Below are 23,873 nucleotides of genomic sequence, written 5' to 3' on the forward strand. Positions count from 1 at the left end.
GTTCCACAAGGGCCATTTTGTATGTGTGAGTTGAAGTATATCTTGAACTCCTGACCTCAAGTGACCTGCCTGCCTCGGCCTCCCAAAGTGCTGGACTTACAGGCATGAGCCACCGTGCCCGGCCAGAAAATTCACTTTTGTTCCCTCAATATTTCCATAAACTCTGTATCTCCCAGAGATGGTCAAGGAATTCATGAGCTAAGATAACATGATAGAGTTGCAGAGAAACAAAAACAACAGAAATAAAAGGCGCTTCTGAGAAACCTTGGCAGAGATGGTCAGAGAGGCACATTTAGTATGACGCAGTACAAGTTAGTGTTGAAGGGTTTAATTCCTCGGAGCTCTACTTTCCTCATCTGTAAACTAGGGATAATAATTCATAGAGTTTGTCATATGGATGAAATGTGATCATGTGATATGAAAAGCCAACTACTCGGCCAGGCGCGGTGGCTCACGCCTGTATTCCCAGCACTTTGGGAGGCCGAGGCGGGCGGATCACGAGGTCAAGAGATCGAGACCATCCTAGCTAACACTGTGAAACCCCGTCTCTACTAAAAATACAAAAATTTAGCCAGGTGTGGTGGCACGCGCCTGTAGTCTCGGCTACTCAGGAGGCTGAGGCAGGAGAATCGCTTGAACCCGGGAGGCAGAGGTTGCAGTGAGCTGAGATCGCGCCACTGCACTCCAGCCTGGGTGACAGAACGAGACTCCGTCTCAAAAAAAAAAAAAAAGCCAACTACTCTGCATAGTTAGCAATCAAAAAATGTAAGCTATTCATTATCCTAATGAACTGAAAAAACTGCTTTTGCGCCTATCGGGAGGAGACTGTTAGAAGCCAAAGGCTCATTTAAAGAGGACGTAAGGAAAAGCAACCAAAAAGGTGGGAATAGAGTTTAAGGCGCGTTCGTGGTGATTCAGACCTAGAGTGGGGAGCAAGCCCTCTCTCTGGACAGCCCTCAGCGGCGAGGGGAGCGGGCGCCCGCGGGCCCAGCCGGGGTGCCCGGCAGCCAGGACTCCGAGGCGGAACCCGCAGCCTGGTCCCGGCGTCGGCGCCTCCCCGGCGGCGTAGGGAGCGCAGCCGCGGGGACCGGGGGCGAGGCCGGGGCGGTGCAGTAAGGGCTTCCCTCCTGGGCGCGGTCGCCCTCTTACCTGGAGCTTCCCCTCGCTGGGGTTTTGCCCACCTGACGCCCCCGCACCCACCGGGGACGGGGCAGACGTCCGGCCTGCTCCCTCCTCCCAGTGGACACCTCTGTCCCTGTCCCGGCCCATTCTCCAGCCCCAGAGCCCTTCCTGCCCTTCCTCCCCTTCCTCCCCTTCCTCCCCTTCCTCCCCTTCCTCCCCTTCCTCCCCTTCCTCCCCTTCCTCCTCTTCCTGCTCCTGGCTCCTTCCGACGAGTTTGGTTTGAACTTTTGAATCCGCCAATCAGCGCCGCGCGCCCCCACTCCGCGGGTGCGGCCGGGCGCAGGCCAGGGCTCGAAGGTGGGGCCGCAGCGGCACGGGGCGGGGTCTGGGGCCCGCCCTCCCGACACGTGGCCGGGGACCGGGTATATAAGGCCCTTCGGGGCCGGCCACCCTTTCACTACTTCTCCCCCGGACTCCTTGGTAGTCTGTTAGTGGGAGATCCTTGTTGCCGTCCCTTCGCCTCCTTCACCGCCGCAGACCCCTTCAAGTTCTAGTCATGGTGAGTGGGGTTCCCTCGGGGCTGGGGAAGAGTGCGCGTCCCAGGGGACGGCGGGCCCGGAAACTACTGCCTGCACCTCGGGCCGCGCCCAGGACAGCTCCAGACTACCCCGGGCCCCTCCGGTTAACCTGGCTTGTGGCGGCCGGGCTGGAAGGTCGAGTTCACTTGGCAGACACCAGTTCGGGCCGGAAAACCTGGCCCGGGTGCGGCCATCAGTGGAAATGGAAAGCCCTCTTGATCCTAGTGAGGGCTTTCCCCGCAGGGCCCGCTACTGCCCTAGGGAGGAAGGTCAGGGAGCCTGCTCATTGGCCTCCAAGAACTTAAACTAAAAATCCCTCCCCACGTTTTCTCAAGCGACCTCTCCTTCCTACTGCCTTACAAACTGGGCCCCGGAGGCCCTCGTGCGCTCCCGCACCGACGGTGCAGCACTTCCTGGCTCCCCCTCTCCAGCGCCCAGTGACTCGCTGCTGAGTCACCTGTGGCCCTGCCCTGGGGAGAGCTTCCAACTGCGCCAGTCCACTTGAGAATGGAGGCAGGCACCTCCTTGGAAGGGAATAATTAACTTTCACGTTGCCTAATCCTGCATTTCTGGTGTTAATCTAGTGGTAGGTTTATAGCTGAAGCTTTCTACTTAAGCCGGGTTTAAAAACACGTCCACAAAAGGATATTTTCTTATAAAACCAGAGTTGGCCCGGCGCAGTGGCTCACGCCTGTAATCCCAGCACTTGTTCGAGACAAACCTGGCGAACATGGTGAAACCCCGTCTCTACTTTAAAAAAAAAAAAAAACAAAAAAAAACGCTGGGCGTGGTGGCGCGCGCCGGTAATCCCAGCTACTCGGGAGGCTGAGGCAGGAAAATCGCTTGAACCCAGGAGGCGTAGGTTTCCCTGAGCCGAGATCGCGCTACTGCACTCCAGTCTGGACGACAGAGCGAAACTGTCTCAAAAAAACGCAAACCCGGCCCGGCGCGGTGGCTCACGCCTGTAATCCCAGCACTTTGGGAGGCTGAGGCTGGTGGATCACGAGATCAGGAAATCGAGACCATCCTGGCTAACACGGTGAAACCCCGTCTCTACTAAAAAAAAAAAAAAAAAAATTAGCTGGGCGTGGTGGCAGGCGCTTGTAGTCTCAGCTACTCGGGAGGCTGAGGCAGGAGAATGGCGTGAACCCGGGAGGCGGAGCTTGCAGTGAGCCGAGATCGCGCCACTGCACTCCAGCCTGGGCGACAGAGCAAGACTCCGTCCAAAAACAAAAAAAAACCCGCAAACCCCAGAGTAAACTAGTACCACGTGTTCTTAGTTCAGTTTTCAAGAAACGTGAAATTATACGTAACTTGAGTGTTTTCTATAAAGCTTCCAGAAGTATTGAAAACAACTATCTTAGGCCGGGCGCGATGGCTTATGGTTGTAATCCCAGCACTTTGGGAGTCCGAGGCGGGAGGACCGCTTGAGCTCAGGAGGTCGAGACCAGCCTGGGCAACACGGTGAAACTCCGTCTATACTAAAAATACAAAAATTATCTGGGCGTCGTGGTGCGTGCCTGTAGTCCCAGCTTCTCGGGAGGCAGGGGTGGGAGGATCTTTTGATCCCGGGAGGTGGAAGCTGCAGTGAGCCCAGATCGCACCACTGCACTCCAGCGAGACCTTATCTCAAAAATACGTACATGAATTTAAATATAAAAATCAAATGTAAATACATGTATATGTCGCACTGTAACAACTTATTGCTTCTTTTCAAGCAGTACCAAAAAGATACTGGTAAAAGTGGGATTCACAAAGTAGTGAGACCCTTTAAAAAGCAGGAGAGCGGCAGCGGACTGGTTTAGGTGAACACTGGTTAAATTTTCTTGTTTTTTAACGAGAGGTAAGAGCTGCTTATCCAGTTAACACTAGACCAATTGACTCCACCTGTGCCTCACTTTCTCCCACGTGGCCAGGGGAGAGTGGAGGGTAAGTCAGTGGCCGCTGACTGCCTGCTAAGCTTCAAGAAGGCAGTTTAGACTGAGCAATGAAAGAAAAATTGCGGGCGCAAAATAGAAACGGCATTTAAACAGAAGAAGCATTTGTTAGAATGAGTGGATCTTCTCAGATACTTTATCTCCTTGGGCCTGGGGGCCATCATGATCAGGTATCTGGTTATCTCCAGCTTTTTGGGGCTTGGGCGTTTCCAAAGTCCAGTTAAAGGTAAACATGATGCCGGGCGTGGTGGCTCCCGCCTATAATCCCAGCACTTTGGGAGGCCGAGGTGAGTAGATCACCCGAGGTCAGGAGTTCAAGACCAGCCTGGCCAACATGGTGAAACCCCATCTCTACTAAAAATACGAAAATAAGGCAGGCATGGTGGTGGGCACCTGTAATCCCAGCTACTTGGGAGGCTGAGGCAGGAAAATCGCTTGAACCTGGAAGGCGGAGTTTCCACTGCACTCCAGCCTGGGCGACAGAGCGAGACTTTTTCTCAAAAAGGTAAACATGATGCAATGGTAAATAGTCATGGGCTAATTAGAACAAACTACTCCTGTTCTCCCACACCCCTGGAGCTGGGTGAGTAGACCCAGGTGATACTGAGCTTGCTGATGTGGTTAAGAGACCTTGATTGTTTCATGGGGAGTGTAGGTGGGAAGGAGGTCAAAGGTTGTGAGTAATTAGGGTTTTTATTATCTCTTGGCTTATGAGACCAGGTCCTTTGAGAACTTAGTGCTCTGCCAGTCTCCAAAGTGGCTAATCTGACTTATGATGAAATGCCAAACACCCTTTTTGTTTTCCTGTTAAGTCTGTGTGTACAGATTCTATGTTTATTCCCTTATTTTACTTAGCAGGTGTGGGTTTGGTAATTTCTAACCATATTCTGCTTTGGCCCCTCTGGCCTTTCTAAATTAACTTGGTCCACCTCATAAATATATATCTATGAGAGAGAGACACACACACACAGACACAGACACAGAGTCTTGCCTCTGTTGCCCAGGCTGGAGTGCAGTGGCGAGATCTCTGCAACCGCCACCTCCTGGGTTTGGGTTCAAGTGATTCTCATGCCTCAGTCTTCCGAGTAGCTGGGACTACAGGCGCGCACCACCATGCCTGGCTAATTCTTGTATTTTTAGTAGAGATGGGGTTTCAGCATATTGGCCAGGCTGTTCTTGAACTCCTGACCTCAGATGATCCACCCACCTCGGTCTCCCAAAGTCCTGGGATTACAGGCATGAGCCACTGTGCTCTACCATAATTTTTTTTTTTTTTGTATTTTTAATAGAGACAGTTTCACCATGTTGGCCAGGCTGATTTCAAACTCCTGACCTCAAGTGATCTGCTCACCTTGGCCTCCCAAAGTGCTGGGATTACAGGTGTGAGCCAGAAACAACTAATTTCTTAACCTATCAGTAAAGTCTTGGTAACATTTCTAGCCTTTATTATTATGGTCTTCCCTCTTCCGGAGATGTTTTGACGGTGAAGGAAAAACGTTCTTCCTATAGATTAGATTCTTCCACTTGGTTAAAAAGCTGCCTCTGACCACAGTTTTTAAAATACAGCTAACTGCTGCTTATCCAGCATTTTCTTCATGAGTCATGGCTATAGTTTGCTGGTTTAAGCTGGTTTTAAAGGAGGGAGAGAGAAGCTTTTGTCTCCTAAAGAATAGGATTAAAGCGGGACCAGAATGAGCTCAGTAGTTACACAATCATTCAGAGAATGAATCAGAGCTGGAAAGGGGAATTTTGCCTTAGTTTAAGGAATCATATCTACTGTGGCTACAAAGCAACTGTCTGGTCTTGCCGAGTAGTTCATGAACACATCTTTGGTTTTCCAAGGCACTTTTGCTGAATTAGGTCTTCAAAGATTTTTGCTTTTGAAATTATAGTCCCTGAGCAGGAGTGGCCTGCTGAAAGATGGTTATCTTTTTTTGTTTGAGATGGAATATCTTGTCACTCAGGCTGGAGGGCAGTGGTGTGATCTCAGCTCACTGCAACCTCCACCTCCTGAGTTCAAGTGATTCTCCTCCCTCAGCCTCCCAAGTAGCTGGGACTACAGGTGTGCGCCATCATGCCTGGCTAATTTTTTTTGTATTTTTAGTAGAGATGCAGTTTTGCCATGTTGGCCAAGCAGATCTCAAACTCCTGACCTCAGGTGATCCACCTGCCTCAGCCTCCCAAAGTACTGGGATTACAGGTGTGAGTCACTGCGCCCAGCCAGTTATCTGTCTTGAAGGTTAATCAGTCATTAGGTGTGAATCATTCCTAAATGTCCCATCTGATGTATTATACCCTGACATTTTCCTTTCTTCCTCCCACAGCGTGAGTGCATCTCCATCCACGTTGGCCAGGCTGGTGTCCAGATTGGCAATGCCTGCTGGGAGCTCTACTGCCTGGAACACGGCATCCAGCCCGATGGCCAGATGCCAAGTGACAAGACCATTGGGGGAGGAGATGATTCCTTCAACACCTTCTTCAGTGAAACGGGTGCTGGCAAGCATGTGCCCCGGGCAGTGTTTGTAGACTTGGAACCCACAGTCATTGGTGAGTTGACCTCAGTAACCCAAGTGAGATCCCAGGGTGCTGGGACAGGAGGTCTGTCCTGGGGGGGCTCCGCTGGTCACTCACCCACTCTCCCTCCCCGCTCCTTGTCCCTCCTCCTCCTCCCCCATCATGTTCTCCAGATGAAGTTCGCACTGGCACTTACCGCCAGCTCTTCCACCCTGAGCAACTCATCACAGGCAAGGAAGATGCTGCCAATAACTATGCCCGAGGGCACTACACCATTGGCAAGGAGATCATTGACCTCGTGTTGGACCGAATTCGCAAGCTGGTAAGTATAGTACTTTAAATAAAGTGGGATGAGAGTTTCTTTTGCAGTTCTGAGACCAAACTACAGAAATCATTCTTTGCAACTAAAATGAGACTATTTGCATTGCAACTAAAATGTATCTGTTCACTAAATTAATTGGATTTCTGAACCAGATGATCTTGGATTTATGGGACAACTATGGGGTAGAAGTAAGTGCTCTTTAGCCTATTTTGCTTCAAGCTGAGACACCCCTTTTGAGGTCATCTTAGTCATACTGAGTGAGTAGGTAGCTGACTTCTACATGTAACTAATTGATCAGAGTCATTTTTTAAAAATCTGGGATGGTTCCTTCATGTCAATACAGAAAGTTCAGAGAACAAGAAGCCAGTGTCACACTGACAAGAAACAGCCAATACTGGAAACTTCCAGTACTGCTGAAAGTGGAGTCGGGAGCTTCCTTATGAAGTGTGCTGTTTGGATCACTTTAATTAAGAGCCTGGCAATCAGATGACTCTTTGCTCCTTAGGCATGTGGGCAGCTTGTAAGTAATTAACCAGAGATCAAGCATGATGGTCTGGGCAGAGTAACTTGTCAAGAAAATCACATTGTATTAAGCCCAGCCATGACTGCTCCATTCTAAAATAGAATAGCCTCATCATTCATGGCTTCATACTTTCTCAGATGTTTACGTAGTCTTCCCAGCAAAACTGGACTGATGTTTCCGATGCTTAAAAACTAAGCTTTAGGCTGGGCACGGTGGCTGACATCTGTAATCCCAGCACTGGGAGGCCAAGGTGGGCGGATCATGAGGTCAGGAGATCGAGACCATCCTGGCTAACATGGTGAAACCCTCTCTACTAAAAATACAAAAAAATTAGCCGGGCGTGGTGGTGGGCGCCTGTAGTCCTAGCTACTAGGGAGGCTGAGGCAGGAGAATGGCGTGAACACGGGAGGCGGAGCTTGCAGTGAGCCGAGATCGTGCCACTGCACTCCAGCCTGGGCGACAGAGTGAGACTCCATCTCAAAAAAACAAACAAACAAAAAAAACCCTAAGCTTTAGTTATAAGCACTGACTTGGAAAATCAGGGACCTGCCTTTAGGACAAATAAACCTAGTAGCTATTTAGGGTTCTGGAACGTGAGGTTTATTGCCTACCAAAACAATTGCATTTGTCCTTGTCATTACTGTGCTCACAGGAGGCTTAACTGGTGTAATTGGTAGGCGAGAGTCTGCCCTGTGCATTGATCTCATGTAGTTGATGGACCCACAGGCTATAAGGGAGCTGAGTAGAGAATGTTCACAAATCTGAGGCCCATCACTTGGAGAAGCAAGAGTTTACAACAGAATACTTTATTTGGAAGGTCAAAATCATTCCTTCGTAAAGTAGCAGTTTGCTAACCAAAATAGCCCAGTTAGGTGGAGGAAATCCCCAACAACCTGAGGTCTCATGGAATTGTGGTTGTGTCACTTTACCCAAAATAAATGGGCTTCTTGGTACCTAGTGTCATATATTGGCTTACTGGGCCAATACTGTGCTTACTGTGCCAAGCACTATGCTGAGTACTTACTTAATTCTCAACCTAAGGTGATTACTATTCTCACTTAATCAGTGGAAGAACTGAGAAATGAATGTGGTCATACAGTAAGGAACTGGTACAGCCGGATCCTGACACAGCCTGACTCCAGTACCAGGGTGTTAGAACTTTGGCTATTCTGTTGTTCCACCTCAGAAAGCAGCTGCCAAATCTTTACAAGACATCCACTGTACCAGGCTGGTGGTCCTGGGCCTGCCCCTTAGGACCTCTCCAACTAAGAAACTGCCCTGTTCTGTGGCCACAGCAAGAGAACCAGAGGCTGCCTTCCCAGTTACCAAAACTTGAGCCCTGTATGCAAGCCCAGGCCTTGTGATTCCTCTGCCTAAGGCAATAGTTCATCTTAAAATAGTCTTAGCAAAGGTTTTTCTGCTCAAGGACTTGATTGTGAAAAGTTGTTCTGAATCACTTAGCACTTAAAAGCTTTTTTTTTTTTTTGGAGACAGGGTCTGCTCTGTCATCCAGGCTGGAGTGCAGTGGCCTGATCATCAGTCTTGAACCCCTGGGCTCAAATGCAAATGGTCCTCCCACCTTGGACCCCCAAAGTGTTGATTACAGGCGTGAGCCACTGCGCCTGGCCCAGAAGAGTTTTAAAATTGCAATTGGAGTAGCCATAGATTTATAGAAGTCCTCTGTAGGTTTCACCAAATGTGAACACTAAATGAAACTTTCGCAACACTAAAATGAAACTTTTTTATTTTGCAGGCTGACCAGTGCACCGGTCTTCAGGGCTTCTTGGTTTTCCACAGCTTTGGTGGGGGAACTGGTTCTGGGTTCACCTCGCTGCTCATGGAACGTCTCTCAGTTGATTATGGCAAGAAGTCCAAGCTGGAGTTCTCCATTTACCCGGCGCCCCAGGTTTCCACAGCTGTAGTTGAGCCCTACAACTCCATCCTCACCACCCACACCACCCTGGAGCACTCTGATTGTGCCTTCATGGTAGACAATGAGGCCATCTATGACATCTGTCGTAGAAACCTCGATATCGAGCGCCCAACCTACACTAACCTTAACCGCCTTATTAGCCAGATTGTGTCCTCCATCACTGCTTCCCTGAGATTTGATGGAGCCCTGAATGTTGACCTGACAGAATTCCAGACCAACCTGGTGCCCTACCCCCGCATCCACTTCCCTCTGGCCACATATGCCCCTGTCATCTCTGCTGAGAAAGCCTACCACGAACAGCTTACTGTAGCAGAGATCACCAATGCTTGCTTTGAGCCAGCCAACCAGATGGTGAAATGTGACCCTCGCCATGGTAAATACATGGCTTGCTGCCTGTTATACCGTGGTGACGTGGTTCCCAAAGATGTCAATGCTGCCATTGCCACCATCAAAACCAAGCGTACCATCCAGTTTGTGGATTGGTGCCCCACTGGCTTCAAGGTTGGCATTAATTACCAGCCTCCCACTGTGGTGCCTGGCGGAGACCTGGCCAAGGTACAGAGAGCTGTGTGCATGCTGAGCAATACCACAGCTGTTGCCGAGGCCTGGGCTCGCCTGGACCACAAGTTTGACCTGATGTATGCCAAGCGTGCCTTTGTTCACTGGTACGTGGGTGAGGGGATGGAGGAAGGCGAGTTTTCAGAGGCCCGTGAGGACATGGCTGCCCTTGAGAAGGATTATGAGGAGGTTGGAGCAGATAGTGCTGACGGAGAGGATGAGGGTGAAGAGTATTAACCTGTGTGCTGTACTTTTACACTCCTTTGTCTTGGAACTGTCTTATTTTTGTTCTGTAAATGTCTATTGCCGTAAATTGTTAATAAAATTGAAGTTTCCATTTTAAATGTCGAGCTGACTTAAATACTTGATCCAGTTAAAGTTGGATGTATGAGGCTGGTAGATGAAACCACCTGAGTCGAGGGTCTTGCTCTGTCACCCAGGCTGGAGTGCAGTGGCATGATAATACATAGCTCATTGCAGCCTCGAGCTCCTGGACTCATGTGATTCTCCTGCTTCAGCCTCCTAAGTAGCTGGGGACTGCAGGTGCACACCACCATGCCCAGCTATTTTTATTTCTTGTAGAGATGGGGCCTTGCTATGCTGCCCAGGGTGGTCTTCAACTGGCTTCAAGTGATCCTCCTGCCTCAACCTCTCAAAGTTTTGATTATAGGCATGAGCCACTGCCCAGCTTCTTGGTTTATCTGTTTAATTTGGGCCTGAATTAAGTGGTTATAGAATCATTTTGTAAGTGAGGAAACGGGTTCAGATTGAGCCAGTGCTTCTCTAACTAAAATGGATGTGAATCACCTGTAGATATTAAAATGCAGGTTTGGGGTCAACCTGGTGGCTCATGCACTTCGGGAGGCCAAGTTGGGTGGATCACGAGCCCAGGAATTCGAGACCAGCCTGGGCAACATGGTGAAAACCCATCTCTACCAAAACAAAAATTTGCATGCTGTGATGGCACCTGCCTATAGGTGGGAGGACCACCTGAGCCCAAGGAGGTTGAGGTAGTGAGCCATGATTGCACCACTGCATTCCAGCCTGGGTGACGGAGACCCCTGACTCTCAAATTTAAAAACAAAATGCAGGTTCTAATTCTATAGGCTTGAGGTGAGGCTTCAGACACGTCTTAAATTTTTTTTCTTTGAGATGGTCTCTTTCCCAGGCTGCAGTGCAATGGCACCATCATAGCTCACCCCCACCTTGACCTGGGCTAAGCCATCCTCCCACCTCAGCCTCCCAAGTAGCCAGGACTACAGGTGTGTTCCACCATGCCTGGCTGATTCTTGTAATTTTTTTTTTTTTTTTTTTTTTTTTTTTTGGTAGAGATGGGGTTTTGCCATGTTGCTTAGGCTGGCCTTGAACTCCTGGGCTCAGGCAATCCTGCCTCAGCCTCCCAAAGTGCTGGGATTACAGGAGTGAGCCACTACACCTGGCCCCTAGATACGTTTTTTAATAACCTCCCAAATGATGCTGTTGGTCTGATGTGACCACATGTACAGTAGCAAAGGGTTAGATAACAGTAACTGCTGGAGCCAAAATTCAAGTGCCCAGCCACACTGCCAGAACTATTGCTGTCAGTCTTTAATAAAGTATTAGTCACACGAGAAGGGCTTGGAATCCTGATTTATTCCATACTTAGCTAAGACCTACAGTGGCAAAGATGGTTCGTACTAAAGGGGTTATTGTTTAGAGAAAGTGGAAATGTCAGACAAAATAACAGTCACCGGTTTTTCTGGTATTGGCATTTGACCCAATTGTATGTCATGGAGATTATTTGAAGTAGGAGTAATATGTATGTGTAGGAAAGATTGGAGAGGGGTGAGTTCTCTGATTTGGACTTTTTTCCAAGCACCTGTTGGAGGACCGTGGTTCTTGGGGGCAGACGGGTGAAGGGGCATGAGTGTTATACGTAGCTGGAGAGCTTGGTGCCTGGTACTCAGTTGAACTAAGCAATGGGAAAGGACAATGACCAAAAGGTGAAGCTTCATGCAGAAGGGAGGAATCAGTTTTGGTGCTTGGGTGCTTGCCTGAGTGGGAATGCCTAATGAGTGGTAGCAGATGGGCCCTGGGGGCAGAGTTGCAGGCATACTCACCTCTCCTCCGTGACTTACTTTATTCTGATGTGTACCCAGTTACCATCTCTTTCCCAAAGGTGTTTTGTATCCCTTACCCATTGCTCACTTTAGCCCCTTTGCTCTGAGAATTGCATCTGAAAGATGTGCATGTTTAAGGCCAGCGCTGGGGTTCACAGCTGCAGTCCCAGCACTCTGGGAGGCCAAGGTGAGAGGATTGCTTAAACCCAAGAGTCTGAGACCAGTGCCTGGGCAAGAGGGTGAGACCCTGTCTATTTTGAGCATTTTTTTGGCCGGGTACCATGGCTCACGCCTGTAATCCCGGCACTTTGGGAGGCTGAAGCAGGTGGATCACTTGAGCTTAGGAGTTCAAGACCAGCCTGGGCAATATGGTGAAACCCCATCTCTACTAAAAATACAAACAATTAGCTGGGCATGGTGGTGCACGTCTGTGGTCCCAGCTGCTTGAGAGGCTGAAGTGGGAGGATTGCTTGAGCCTGGGAGGTGGAGGTAGCAGTGAGCTGAGATCGTGCCACTGCCCTCCAGCCTAAGGGACAAAAAATTTTTTTCCCTTAAATTTTTTTTTATGTCTCAAATTTTTTTAAATGTATATATTATACCTGCGTGCATAGCACAGCATGCTTTTGCAGCCTGAGATGCCTCAACTATGTGCTCTGGATGGTTTTATATAGCATTTGTCGAGAGCAACCATAGTTTTATGTCCTTCGGGGCAAGGTAAGACCCCAGCACAAATTCAGCCACTGCTACTTCTCAGATGAGCCAGGTTCTTCCTGCAGCCTGGGCAGGGGAGCGGGGTGGGATGCCTGAAATGAAGGTGAACCTTGAAGACGCTGGCTAGCCTGCCAGAGGGGATTTTGAGACCTTCCCAGGCCAGGAGATCTGCTGATTGCCATAGTGCAAGCACTGGAGGAAATGGGAATGGGACACCCGTGTATGAAAAGGAGCAGATAAATCACAAAGCTTAGGCGAGTGTGACACCCCATGACACCAGCATTTCCCAAGCAGGGTGCCCTGAGAATAGGATTCAGGGTGCCCATATAGGATCCCTTCGGCTTTTAGAATGACATGGTGGAAACTGGAGAGCCTGACTCACCCATCCTCCCTGGGGCCAGTCACCCTGGCCAGGAGTAGCCCCCTCCATTTACCTCTGTACACCTTACAGATGAATTATTTTCTACATGTGCCAAGATGTGAAAAAGGTTGGAAAGCTTTAAGCAGCCACAGAGGTCTGGGGTGAAAGAAGGTGAGAGAAAAGTTTAGCTGAGAAGAAATATTCCAGTAGAATAAAGCCTGGGGAATTGGAAGAGCAAAGTGCCAGTGGTTGGGGGGGCATTTGTCCTTGTAAAGATGATTTCCCCCTCCTGCGTTGGAGGGAGAGTGAATAGAAGTTAGCCTGCAGCAAGAACAAATATACCCCAAGGTCTAGGTCACTGCTTTGTGGCTGACAATCATCTGATCTGCCCTTGAGCACGAATGGAAAGTCTGGACCCAGAGCTGCGACTGATGCTGATGCTGAGGCCGCTGAAGCTTGATGGGAATAAATGCACACAGCCTAAGAGGATTCGGGCTCCTGAGGCTGGCGGCAGCCCCAGGTCCGGCTGTGTGGACAGAGGGCTTAGTCTGCCCTCACCTAACCTGGCCAGAGGAGCAACCTGCTTCCCCCCACAGAGGCCGCTGACCACTGAGAGGTTAGCATGTCTGGGCAGAGGTGTTTTGGGCAGGGATGAGAAGGGGGATAATGACTTTGAGGGGCTAAGGGCCTGCCTGTCCACCTGTCATTCTGTGTTTGGGAAGCAGCTGGCAAGTGACTCTTCTCCAGCAGGAATCTGTCAGGCCAGAGGATGGCCAAGTGGGTTATGCAATTACAAATCAGTCTTCAGGCCTCTGCTGGAAGGTGGTGTGGCAGTCCTGGGTGAGGCTGAAGGAGGTCAGGGGAGGCGCTGTCAGGGTGGGAGGAAAAGGTGCCTTCACAGTTTCCACAGTACCCTGGGAGGTGATGTTATTATACCCACTTCCATAGCTCACAGAGATTGAATATCTAGCCTAAGGCTACAGAATGAGTGGCAGAACTGAAATTTTACCGCAGAGCTCTGGCTCTAAAGCCTAGGCTGACTCCACTCTGTCGTCCAGCCATCGAGGAGCTCCAGAGGAAATCGGCTCTGCACCTGGCAGCCTTTCCAGTCCTGGGGGGATAGTGCCACCTCCCAGGACCCTTGGGGCATGAGGTCAACAAGGGCCAGCCCTCACATGAGCACTGGATGGAGCTGTAGTCACAGAGAGATCTCATTATGCCAGTGATTGTCAGAAAACCTCCCAAGAGCCCCGTTCCTGGGCCCAGGTGGCAGCCCATTGACCTTAAATAGCAAAGCCAGCTGGTCCCCATGTCCAGGCTGTAGCTTCCCTAGTGAGGGGGCATTTTTGTCCAGGCCTCCCTCTGAACTCAGTTCTCAGGTCACGGGGAGATACAGTGCCCTTGCAGGATGGCTGCTGCCACCTGCCTGGTCTCCTGCCAACAGGGACACCAGCTGAGGCACAGGCAGGACAGTGTACACCTGGAGCCTCGCTCCTCTATGCTCCAGGGCCAGAGTGGTCAGTGCCCGTCAGCTGAGGCGGCAAGGTGAAGCTGGCAGAGATGACCCAGGCAGATGGCTCCAGGAGCCCAATGCCAGGGCGACTATCTAGGAGACACAAGGCAGCAGAAGCTGAAGAGAAAATAGACCCTTGGGTGTGGGGGCTGTGGAGCAGGAGTGGGCCCTCGCCCCGTGAAATAGGTCCCCTTTGCTGACATCTCATTAGCCTGTCACTGCCCCTTTCATGCCAAGAACCTAGTGCCCCTGAATTTGTCATTGTCAGCCCCAAGCAGGTTTTGGGAAAACAGTTCTTTCCTCCTCTACACTCCCTCCGAGTCTACAGCAGGAGAGCAATAGTCAGAATCAATGAACCTTCCAGAACTAGAGACATGTCTGCTTTAGTCATAATACAAAAAATGCTTTTAAACAGTCGTCTCCCTACTGGACTTTTTTTTCTCTCTCTCTCTTATTTATTTATTTATTTATTATTTTTGAGACAGTCTGTCTCTGTCGCCAGGCTGGAGTGCAGTGGTGTGATCTCAGCTCACTGCAACCTCCGCCTCCCGGGTTGAAGTGATTCTCCTGCCTCAGGCTCCCAAGTAGCTGGGACTACAGGCATGTACTACCACGCCCAGCTAATTTTTGTAGTTTTGGTAGAGACAGGGTTTCATCATGTTGGCCATCTCCTGACCTTGTGATCCGCCCGCCTTGGCCTCCCAAAGTGTTGGGATTACAGGCGTGAGCCACCGCGCCTGGCCTTTTTTTTTTTTAATTGGAACAGACTATAAAGGTTTTACAGAATATAAAGATTTCCTAATTACACAAAGATTTTGTCTACAGAAATTAGTTTAACTCATGGAAGAGGGTGGGTATAAATTCAACCCCACTCTCTCTCCCTTCACCCTCTCTGCACACTTCTCTATTTTTTTTTTTTTTTTTTTTTTTTTTTTGAGACGGAGTCTCTCTCTGTCGCCCAGGCTGGAGTGCAGTGGCGGGATCTCGGCTCACTGCAAGCTCCGCCTCCCAGGTTCACGCCATTCTCCTGCCTCAGCCTCCCAAGTAGCTGGGACTACAGGCGCCCGCCACTACGCCCGGCTAATTTTTTGTATTTTTAGTAGAGACGGGGTTTCACCGTTTTAGCCGGGATGGTCTCGATCTCCTGACCTCGTGATCCGCCCGCCTCGGCCTCCTAAAGTGCTGGGATTACAGGCGTGAGCCACCGCGCCCGGCCACACTTCTCTATTTTTATCAAATATCTCATTTGGCTTCCAAGAGATGTCTAGTCCAAGAGTAAACAAATACTGAAATGCCCTTGGCAAAGGTAATCCAATTATACTATTCTGGCAATCATCTCCAGTTTTTTGTTTGTTTTTCTTTCTTTCTTTTTTTTTTTCCAATACAGAGTCTTGCTCTGTCACCCAGGCTGGAGTGCAGTGGTGCCATCTCAGCTCACTGCAAGCTCCGCCTCTCGGGTTCAAGCAGTTCTCCTGCCTCAGCCTCCTGAGTAGCTGGGATTACAGGTACCCGCCACCACTCCTGGCTAATTTTTGTATTCTTAGTAGAGCTGAGGGTTCACCATGTTGGCCAGGCTGGTCTCGAACTCTTGACCTTGTGATCCGCCTGCCTTGGCCTCCCAAAGTGCTGGGATTACAGGCGTGAGCCACCGCACCTGGCCGTTCTTCTTTCTTTCTTTCTTTCTTTCTTTTTTTTAAATTAAGCCTGATACTTGCTAAGTTTATTTTTTTAGAGACTGAGTCTTACTATGTTGCCCAGGCTGGCCTTGAACTCCTGGGCTCAAACACTCCTCCCACTTCAGCCTCCTGTGTAGCTGAGACAACAGCACACCGCACTGGGCTTCATTTTCAACTTTCAAGTTTTATTCGTTCATTATTTTTGCAACACCTGTTTGGTGCAAGTCACTGTGCTGGGTACTATAGGAAATATATTTAGCTTTTTGCTTCTCAGATTGTAGAGACAGACCACACATGCATAATCCCAATTCGAGGCAGCATATGCCACATGTCACAGAAGAGGCTGTCACAGGCAGTAGCCACTGTTGCATAGCTACTTCAAAGCCATTCCCAGCTTGTTCCACCTGCCAACACAACGCAGCTCTGTCCTGGTGTGGGACACCCATGTGCATTGGAGGGGCTGGGCTTCACTACCAGGGTGAACCTTCCCCTAAGCCAATCAAGGTAATTCCAGTTGTTTCGCCAGGGCCTGGTTAAGGAACCAGCATGTGATGTAATTATGGAAATGAGAGGTGAGGTAATGTCTGCCGGTTGGGGGTTGGAAGGAAGATATTCTTGCAAAAATTTCCTTGCTCTTAAAAAAGAACTCAGGGAAAGGATTTTCCTCTTGCAGCCCTGGGCATTACTGCGTGAGCACATTGTGCTTGTGCTTGTGCTTGTGCCTGGTGCTTGAGGTTGCTGCAGCCGTCTTGTGACCAGAATGGGACAAACACGAGGACAAAAGCTACCGCTCAATAGCAAGGCAACACAGAAAGCTGAAAAGAGCATGGGCCCCGATAGAGTGTTGAGCCCCTGAATTAACCAACCTTGACACCAAACCTTGCTCTGCCTCCGAAGTTTTTACAAGATTTTTAGTCCCCTTATTGTTTAGGACATTTTGATTTGGGTCTTCTATTTTTTCCTGCCAAAAGCATTCTAACTAACATTAAAGCCTTATGTAATTGTTAATAGATTTTTTTTTCCTTATTTTCTGCCGGGCGTGGTGGCTCATGTCTGTGATCCCAGCACTTTCAGAGGCTGAGATGGGTAGACCACTTGAGGTCAGGAGTTCGAGACCAGCCTGGGCAGCATAGCAAAACCCTGTCTCTACAAAAATAAAATAAAATAAAGTAGAAGAAGCTGGGCATAGTGGTGTGTGCCTGTGGTCCCAGCTACTCCGGGGGCTGAGGTGAAAGGGTTTGAGCTGAGCCCAGGAGGCAGTGAGCTGTGACCGCACCATTGCACTCCAGTCTGGGCGACAGAGCAAGACCCTGTCTCCAAAAAAAAAAAAAGAATTTTTTTCTGTATTTTCTTCTTCCTCCTCCCCTCTTCTTCCTCCTCCTCCTCCTCCTCTTCCTCCTTCTCTTCCTCCTTCTTCTTTTGTAATAGAAACAGGGTTTTGGCAGGGCACGGTGGCTCACGCCTGTAATCCCAGCAATTTGGGAGGCCAAGGTGGGCAGATCACTTGAGGTCAGGAGTTTGAGACCAGCCTGGCCAATATGGTGAAGCCCCATCTCTACCAGGTGTGGTGGCACACGCCTGTAATCCCAGCTACTCAGGTGGCTGAGGCAGGAGAATCACTTGAACCCAGGAGGTGGAGGTTGCAATGAGTGGAGATTGCACCATTGCACTCCAGCCTGGGCTACAGAGCAAGACTCTGTCTCAAAAAAAAAAAAAAAAAAAGAAATGGGGTTTCACCGTGTTGCCTAGGCTGGTCTCAAACTCCTGGACTCAAGAAATTCACATTCCTCAGACTCCCAAAGCGCTGGGATTACAGGTATGAGCCACTGTGCTTGGCCAGAAATTTGTGGTAAAATTATTAATAATAAAAATATGAAGGCCCTGCTTTCATTCAGGCCAAAAAATATTAAGGCCCTTTTGAATTTGCAGAACCCCTTTGCCAGTGCAAACCTTGCCTTGGGCGAGTGAAGATCCTGTCCCCTCTTTCTTTCCTCATATGTTGCCTTCTTCCACCTGCAGTTCCTAGTCCACCAAATGGATCTGCTTTTTCCTTCCAGTCTTCCCAGGTGCCTTGGCCAAACTCAAACCATAAATAAAAGGAACACAGACACCAGGCATGGTGGCTTCTGCTGTAATACCAACACTTTGTGAGGCTGAGGAGGAAGGATTGCTTAAGGCTAGGAATTCGAGACCAGCCTGGCAACATAGTGAGACCCTGTCTCTACACAAAATGTAAAAATTACCCTGGTGCTGTGGCACGGACCTATAGTCCCAGCTATTCGGGATGATGAGGTAGGAGGATTGATTGAGCCTGGGAGATCAAGGCTACAGTGAGCCGTGTTCATGCCACTGCACTGCAGCCTAGGTGACAGAGCAAGACCCTGTCCCAAGGGGGAAAAAAAAAGGATAGAACATCTGCAAGTCCAAACAGTGTGCCATATTCTTCCTTTTTTTTTTTTTTGAGACAGAGTTTCGCTCTTGTTGCCCAGGTTAGAGTGCAGTGGTGCAATCTCAGCTCACCGCAACCTCTGCCTCCCGGGTTCAAGCGATTCTCCTGCCTCAGCCTCCCAAGTAGGTGGGATTACAGGCGCCTGCCACCATGCCCAGCTAATTTTGTATTTTTTATTAGAGATGGGGTTTCTCCATGTTGGTGAGGCTGATCTCAAACTCCCAACCTCAGTCAATCCGCCCACCTCGGCCTCTCAAAGTGCTGGGATTACAGGCATGAGCCACCGTGCTCGGCCTCATCTTCTTCCTTTTTACTTGCAGCTATGAGTGGGGCCTGTGGCCTGATGTGAGGGGGTAGAGAAGAGCAAGAAGGCCCCAACCTGAAGGAATGCCCCCCTCCTAGGTACCTATCAAAATGAGCCTGACCCTAGGGCAATGCCACAGCTTCCAGAGCCTCCCATGCTATTTCAGACCAAGGATCTTGTAGACAAGGAGTGGTGCAGGGTGACGCGGATGAGACCCAGACCAGACTCTGAGGGCTCTGGGATGTGAATGGGGTTAGCTGACTGGTTGCTCCCCGTGTGGAGGCTCTGGGGCCTGTGAGAGGAAAAAACCCAAGTTCCCATTTCTGGCCCATTGTTTTCCTCTATTCTTCCTCCCTCCTCCCCTCTTTCCACCACCCCTCACCTCCATTTCCCTTCTCCTCTCCCCTCCTCTCTTCCCCCTCCATTTCCCCCTTCCCTCTCTCTCCCATTCAGTTCTCCCGTTTCCTGTCTCCATCTCCTCTGCCACTGCCCTCCCCTCCAGCCAGGGGCCAGCACAGATAGCCGTGTACTATAGAAAGAATCCAACTAGAGAGTGAGAGAATGTTCTTCTTTTGTTGTTTTTGTTTTCTGAGATAGGAGCTCACTTGGTCACTCAGGCGGGAGTGCGGTGGCATAATCATAGCTCACTGCAGCCTCAACCTCCTGGGCTCAAGCAATTCTCCCACCTCAGCCTCCCAGGTAGCTGGGACTACAGGTTTGCACCACCATGCCCAGCTAATTTTAAATTTTTTGTAGAGACAGGGTCTTCCTATGTTGCCCAGGCTTGTCCTGAACTCCCAGGCTCAGGCAATCCTCCTGCCTTGACCTCACAAAATGCTGGGTTTACAGGCATGAGTCGCTGTGACTGGCCAAGAGAATTTCTTTTTTTTTTTTTTTTTTTATTGATCATTCTTGGGTGTTTCTCGCAGAGGGGGATTTGGCAGGGTCATAGGACAATAGTGGAGGGAAGGTCAGCAGATAAACAAGTGAACAAAGGTCTCTGGTTTTCCTAGGCAGAGGACCCTGCGGCCTTCCGCAGTGTTTGTGTCCCTGGGTACTTGAGATTAGGGAGTGGTGATGACTCTTAACGAGCATGCTGCCTTCAAGCATCTGTTTAACAAAGCACATCTTGCACCGCCCTTAATCCATTTAACTCTGAGTGGACACAGCACATGTTTCAGAGAGCACAGGGTTGGGGGTAAGGTCACATATCAACAGGATCCCAAGGCAGAAGAATTTTTCTTAGTACAGAACAAAATGAAAAGTCTCCCATGTCTACTTCTTTCTACACAGACACGGCAACCATCCGATTTCTCAATCTTTTCCCCACCTTTCCCCCCTTTCTATTCCACAAAACCGCCACTGTCATCATGGCCCGTTCTCAATGAGCCGCTGGGCACACCTCCCAGACGGGGTGGTGGCCGGGCAGAGGGGCTCCTCACTTCCCAGTAGGGGCGGCCGGGCAGAGGCGCCCCTCACCTCCCGGATGGGGCGGCTGGCCCGGCGGGGGGCTGACCCCCCCACCTCCCTCCCGGACGGGGCGGCTGGCTGGCCAAGAGATTGCCCATCAGGTCACTGTGGGTGTGACAGCCACTGGCTCCAGAAGCTCAGTCCTGGCGGCAGCTGTCAAACCAACACCCACATAGCCTGCAAGCAGAGGGCAGGCGGGGCAGTTTGTAGGGCTTCAGACCCTGTGAATTTTTCTGTTCAGCTGTCACCCAACCTCTCCCTGCAAGAGGTAGGGTGAGACGGATGGCAGAGTGTCATGACTGAAGAAGAGCCTCCGACGACTGGCCTGATGGGCACGGGCCCCTGCCCTGTCGCATGTCAGGCACACACATGTGCTCCAGCCACTGCCTGGGGAAAAGAGCATAACCATGTGCCAGGGTGAGATCTCTCCCCGGCTCACAGAATTGCAAGTACTGCTCCCCTCTCAGCATCTTCAGCAAGAAACAGGGGGTTGGGGGTGAGGGGCTGTGCCTGGTGATCCCAGTTTTCCTCCTTCTCATCATCTTCCAGGGTTCCAGGCTGAGGAGCTCAGAGGTTGTGTGGAGGAGGGAGGGGAATAACAGATGGGCCCGCATCAGGGCTGCGCCTCCTCTTGGACAGTCCCAGAACTGAGAGTTGGCGGCGGTGAGGAGGATCGCTGCCCTCCTTGGACACCCCGACTGTGATCTACTCTAAAAATCCTCCCTTCACCTGAGGAGAAGATTGCAGGCATGTTCCACCTCCAGCACGGTCCTGAGATGAGTTGTCCCCATTTCCCCCTGCCCTTTCCTTCCTCAGTAAAGGGATTACTGTTCATTCCCACCCAGAGGATCTTGGAGCATCCCCCTGAGAAGGAAGAGCTTAGGACTCCTTCCCCGCTCCACAAAGAGCAGTTACAAAATAAAAAATAAATTAAAAACACAAACAAAGGCTACTCTGGGCACACTGCCTACGGGGTAGCCTTGCTCCACAGGGGGCAGTTAAAAAAAGCAAAACAACAATAACAACAAAAAACAAAAAGAACTACTGGGGGCAGTGGTCTGAGACCCACCCCTCTCTTTAATAAATGCCTATTTCATTTTATTTTTACTTTTAAGACAGAGTCTCACTCTGTCGCCCAGGCTGGAGAGCAGTGGCGCGATCATATTTTACCAGTGAGGAAAGCAAGGCCCAGTGACTGGCCCAGACCTGGGACCATATCCTTCCTGGTTTTTGGTTAGCTGCACTTTCCTTGCAACATGAGACATCTCAAGTGTAAACACCTCTGCCCAGCTTTCCCACCTTCTATAAACCCTACTAGGGTTCTCACACCTTCCTCAAAAACCTCTTTCTCCCTAGTCCTGCTGGCCTCACTCCCAATAACTTGTCCTTCATCACACCCCCTGGAGTTCAGCCATTCAAGCCCCTGCCATTCCAGGCAGATTGCCTGAGCCCAGGAGTTCGAGACCAGCTTGGGCAACATGGTGCAACCCCATCTCTACAAAAAATGCAAAAATTAGCTGGGGATGGTGGCATGCAACTGTAGTCCCAGCTACTAGGAAGGCTGAGGCGGGAGGATAGCTTCAGCATGGGAGACGGAGGTTGCAGTGGGCTGAGACTACACCACCGCACTCCAGCCTGGGTGACAGAGTGAGACCCTGTCTCAAAAAAAAAAAAAAGAAAAAGAAAAAGAAAAGAAAAAAATAATAGTCTGATAAATATTCATACACCCTCCACCTAGATTAGGCAGTCACTAATATTTGCCTTTTTTTTTTTTAATGGAGTTTCGGTCTTGTCACCCAGGCCAGAGTGCAGTGACGTAATGTCAGCTCGCTGCAACCTCCGCCTCCTGGGTTCAAGCGAGTCTCCTGCCTTAGCCTCCCAAGTAGCTGGAACTACAGGCACCTGCCACCACACCCAGCTAATTTTTGCATTTTTAGTAGAGACGGGGTTTCCCCATGTTGGCCAGGCTGGTCTCAAACTCTTGACCTCAGGTGATCTGCCCACCTTGGCCTCCCAAAGTGCTGGGATTACAGGCGTGAGCCACTGTGCCCAGCTGATATTTGCCATATTTCAGCCGGGCACAGTGGTTAATGCCTGTAATCCCAGCGCTTTGGGAGGCTGAGGCAGGAGGACTGTTTGAGCCCAGGGGTTTGAGACCAGCCTGGGCAACACAGTGAGACCCAGTATCTATTTTAAATAAATAAATATTTTAAATAAATAAATAAATAGAAAAAATAACAAGTAAGATGAAGACAAACTATTTTTTTAAAAAAGGAAAAAAATTAATAGAAGAAAAAATTTTTAAAAATTGCCATTTCTTTCTTTCTCTAGAACATATACCTTTTCTTTGCTAACCCACTAGAAAGAAGGTTGAGGATATCATGACACTCCACTCCTAAATACTTTAGCAGGCAGACATTCCATTACACAACCACACTCCGATCTTCACACCTAAAAGAAGAATAATCATTTCATAGCATATAATACCCCAAATTCTCCAATAACCTCTTTAAAAAAAATTTAGGGTCCAATCTAGCTTTGTACATACATTTGATTGTTTCATCTCTTAGTCTCTTGTTGTCAAAATGATCTCCCACTGTAGTGGACTGAATGGTGGCTTCCCAAAACATATGTCTATGTCCTAGGACATGTTAATGTGACCTTATTTGGGAAAAGCGTCTTTACAGGGGTAAACAATGATCTTAAGGTGAGATCATCCTGGATTACTTGGGTGGGCCCCAAATCCAAAGATGAGGGTCTTTGTAAGAGGAAGAGGAGACATGGACACAAAGGAGGAGACGGCCATGCGAAGACAGAGGGAGAGACTGGAGGGATGTGGTCACAAGCCAAGGAATGCCTGGAGCACCACAAGCTGGAAGAGGCAAGGAAGGGTTCCTCTCTGCTCCAGCCTTCGGGACTACAGCCCCACCAACACCTTGATTTTGGACTTCTGGACTTCAGAACTGTGAGAGAATACATTTTTGTTGTTCTAAGCCACCAAGTTTGTGGTAATTTGTTATGAAAGCTCCAAAAAACACCAACAAAAAATGATATAAACTTATTATTATTATTATTATTATTATTATTTTGGCATTAACTTTTTTTTTCTTGTATTTTTAGTAGAGACAGGGTTTCGCCATGTTGATCAGGCTGGTCTCCAACTCCCGACCTCAGGTGATCCGCCCACCTAGGCCTCCTAAAGTGCTGGGATTACAGGTGTGAGACACCGTGCCTGGCCTTGACCTTAACTTTTTAAAGAGTCTAGGACTAGTTGTCTTATAGAATGTCCCAACTCTGAAATTGTCTTCAGATTGACCTTTTAAAATCCTAAATCAGGGCGGAGCAAGGTGGCTCATGCCTGTAATTCCAGCACTTTGGGAGGCCGAGGCGGGCAGATCACTAGGTCAGGAGATCGAGCCCATTCTGGCCAACATGGTGAAACCCCACCTCTACTAAAAATACAAAAAAATTAGCTGTGTGTGGTGGCACGCTCCTGTAGTCCCAGCTACTCGGGAGGCTGAGGCAGGAGAATCACCTGAACCTGGGAGGCAGAGGTTGCAGTGAGCCAAGATCGCACGACTGCACTCCAGCCTGGCGACAGAGCGAGACTCCATTTCAAAAACAAAACAAAACAAAACAAAAATTATAAATCAGATTAAGTCATTCCCTGCTTCAAACCCTCTAATGGCTTTTCATTGCATTTAAAATAAACTCTTTACTCTGATTTTAAAAGCCTCGTGATCTTTGACTCCTTGCCATGCCTCTAACCTCACCTTTCCCGCTCTCTTCCCTCATCTGCCTCG

At 49.5% G+C, this 23,873-nt stretch overlaps 1 protein-coding gene across 5 annotated transcripts in view, besides 7 other annotated features; it reads left to right on the top strand.

The window, feature by feature from the left end:
• TUBA1C (tubulin alpha 1c) overlaps positions 1 to 11,097 on the top strand; it is a 46,675-nt gene extending 35,578 nt beyond the window's left edge. For 3 of the 5 annotated variants that reach the window (NM_001303115.2, NM_001303116.2, NM_001303117.2), the window contains 3 exons: positions 5,962 to 6,184; positions 6,325 to 6,473; positions 8,750 to 11,097. In NM_001303115.2, the coding sequence (NP_001290044.1) occupies positions 6,064 to 6,184; positions 6,325 to 6,473; positions 8,750 to 9,724 (1,245 nt within the window). In that variant the 5' untranslated portion in view covers positions 5,962 to 6,063 and the 3' untranslated portion in view covers positions 9,725 to 11,097. Of the gene's footprint in view, positions 1 to 1,578; positions 1,682 to 5,961; positions 6,185 to 6,324; positions 6,474 to 8,749 lie in introns of those variants that run through there. The other 2 variants (NM_032704.5, NM_001303114.1) reach the window with 2 other exon arrangements.
• Positions 901 to 1,340: a silencer, noted in NCBI's record as "silent region_4427". NCBI's record gives its function as "represses an Ori minimal core promoter by ATAC-STARR-seq in GM12878 lymphoblastoid cells {active_cell/tissue: GM12878}" and the evidence as "EXISTENCE:reporter gene assay evidence [ECO:0000049][PMID:35858748]".
• Positions 1,381 to 1,640: a silencer, noted in NCBI's record as "silent region_4428". NCBI's record gives its function as "represses an Ori minimal core promoter by ATAC-STARR-seq in GM12878 lymphoblastoid cells {active_cell/tissue: GM12878}" and the evidence as "EXISTENCE:reporter gene assay evidence [ECO:0000049][PMID:35858748]".
• Positions 1,771 to 1,930: an enhancer, noted in NCBI's record as "active region_6310". NCBI's record gives its function as "activates an Ori minimal core promoter by ATAC-STARR-seq in GM12878 lymphoblastoid cells {active_cell/tissue: GM12878}" and the evidence as "EXISTENCE:reporter gene assay evidence [ECO:0000049][PMID:35858748]".
• Positions 1,995 to 2,208: a silencer, noted in NCBI's record as "fragment chr12:49659281-49659494 (GRCh37/hg19 assembly coordinates)". NCBI's record gives its function as "represses an EF-1alpha promoter that drives an FKBP-Casp9 reporter gene in an ReSE screen in HepG2 liver carcinoma cells {active_cell/tissue: HepG2}" and the evidence as "EXISTENCE:reporter gene assay evidence [ECO:0000049][PMID:32094911]".
• Positions 10,483 to 10,777: a silencer, noted in NCBI's record as "tiled region #9693; K562 Repressive non-DNase unmatched - State 14:Gen5'". NCBI's record gives its function as "represses a minimal TATA promoter and a strong SV40 promoter by Sharpr-MPRA in K562 cells {active_cell/tissue: K562}" and the evidence as "EXISTENCE:reporter gene assay evidence [ECO:0000049][PMID:27701403]".
• Positions 15,380 to 15,971: an enhancer, noted in NCBI's record as "H3K27ac hESC enhancer chr12:49672666-49673257 (GRCh37/hg19 assembly coordinates)". NCBI's record gives its function as "activates a minimal SCP1, AML or CMV promoter by ChIP-STARR-seq in naive H9 embryonic stem cells {active_cell/tissue: H9 hESC(naive)}" and the evidence as "EXISTENCE:reporter gene assay evidence [ECO:0000049][PMID:30033119]".
• Positions 16,223 to 16,517: an enhancer, noted in NCBI's record as "tiled region #11054; HepG2 Activating DNase matched - State 8:EnhW". NCBI's record gives its function as "activates a minimal TATA promoter and a strong SV40 promoter by Sharpr-MPRA in HepG2 cells {active_cell/tissue: HepG2}" and the evidence as "EXISTENCE:reporter gene assay evidence [ECO:0000049][PMID:27701403]".

The sequence above is a fragment of the Homo sapiens genome, chromosome 12, assembly GCF_000001405.40.
Source record: "Homo sapiens chromosome 12, GRCh38.p14 Primary Assembly".
Classification (NCBI taxonomy): Eukaryota; Metazoa; Chordata; class Mammalia; order Primates; family Hominidae; genus Homo; species Homo sapiens.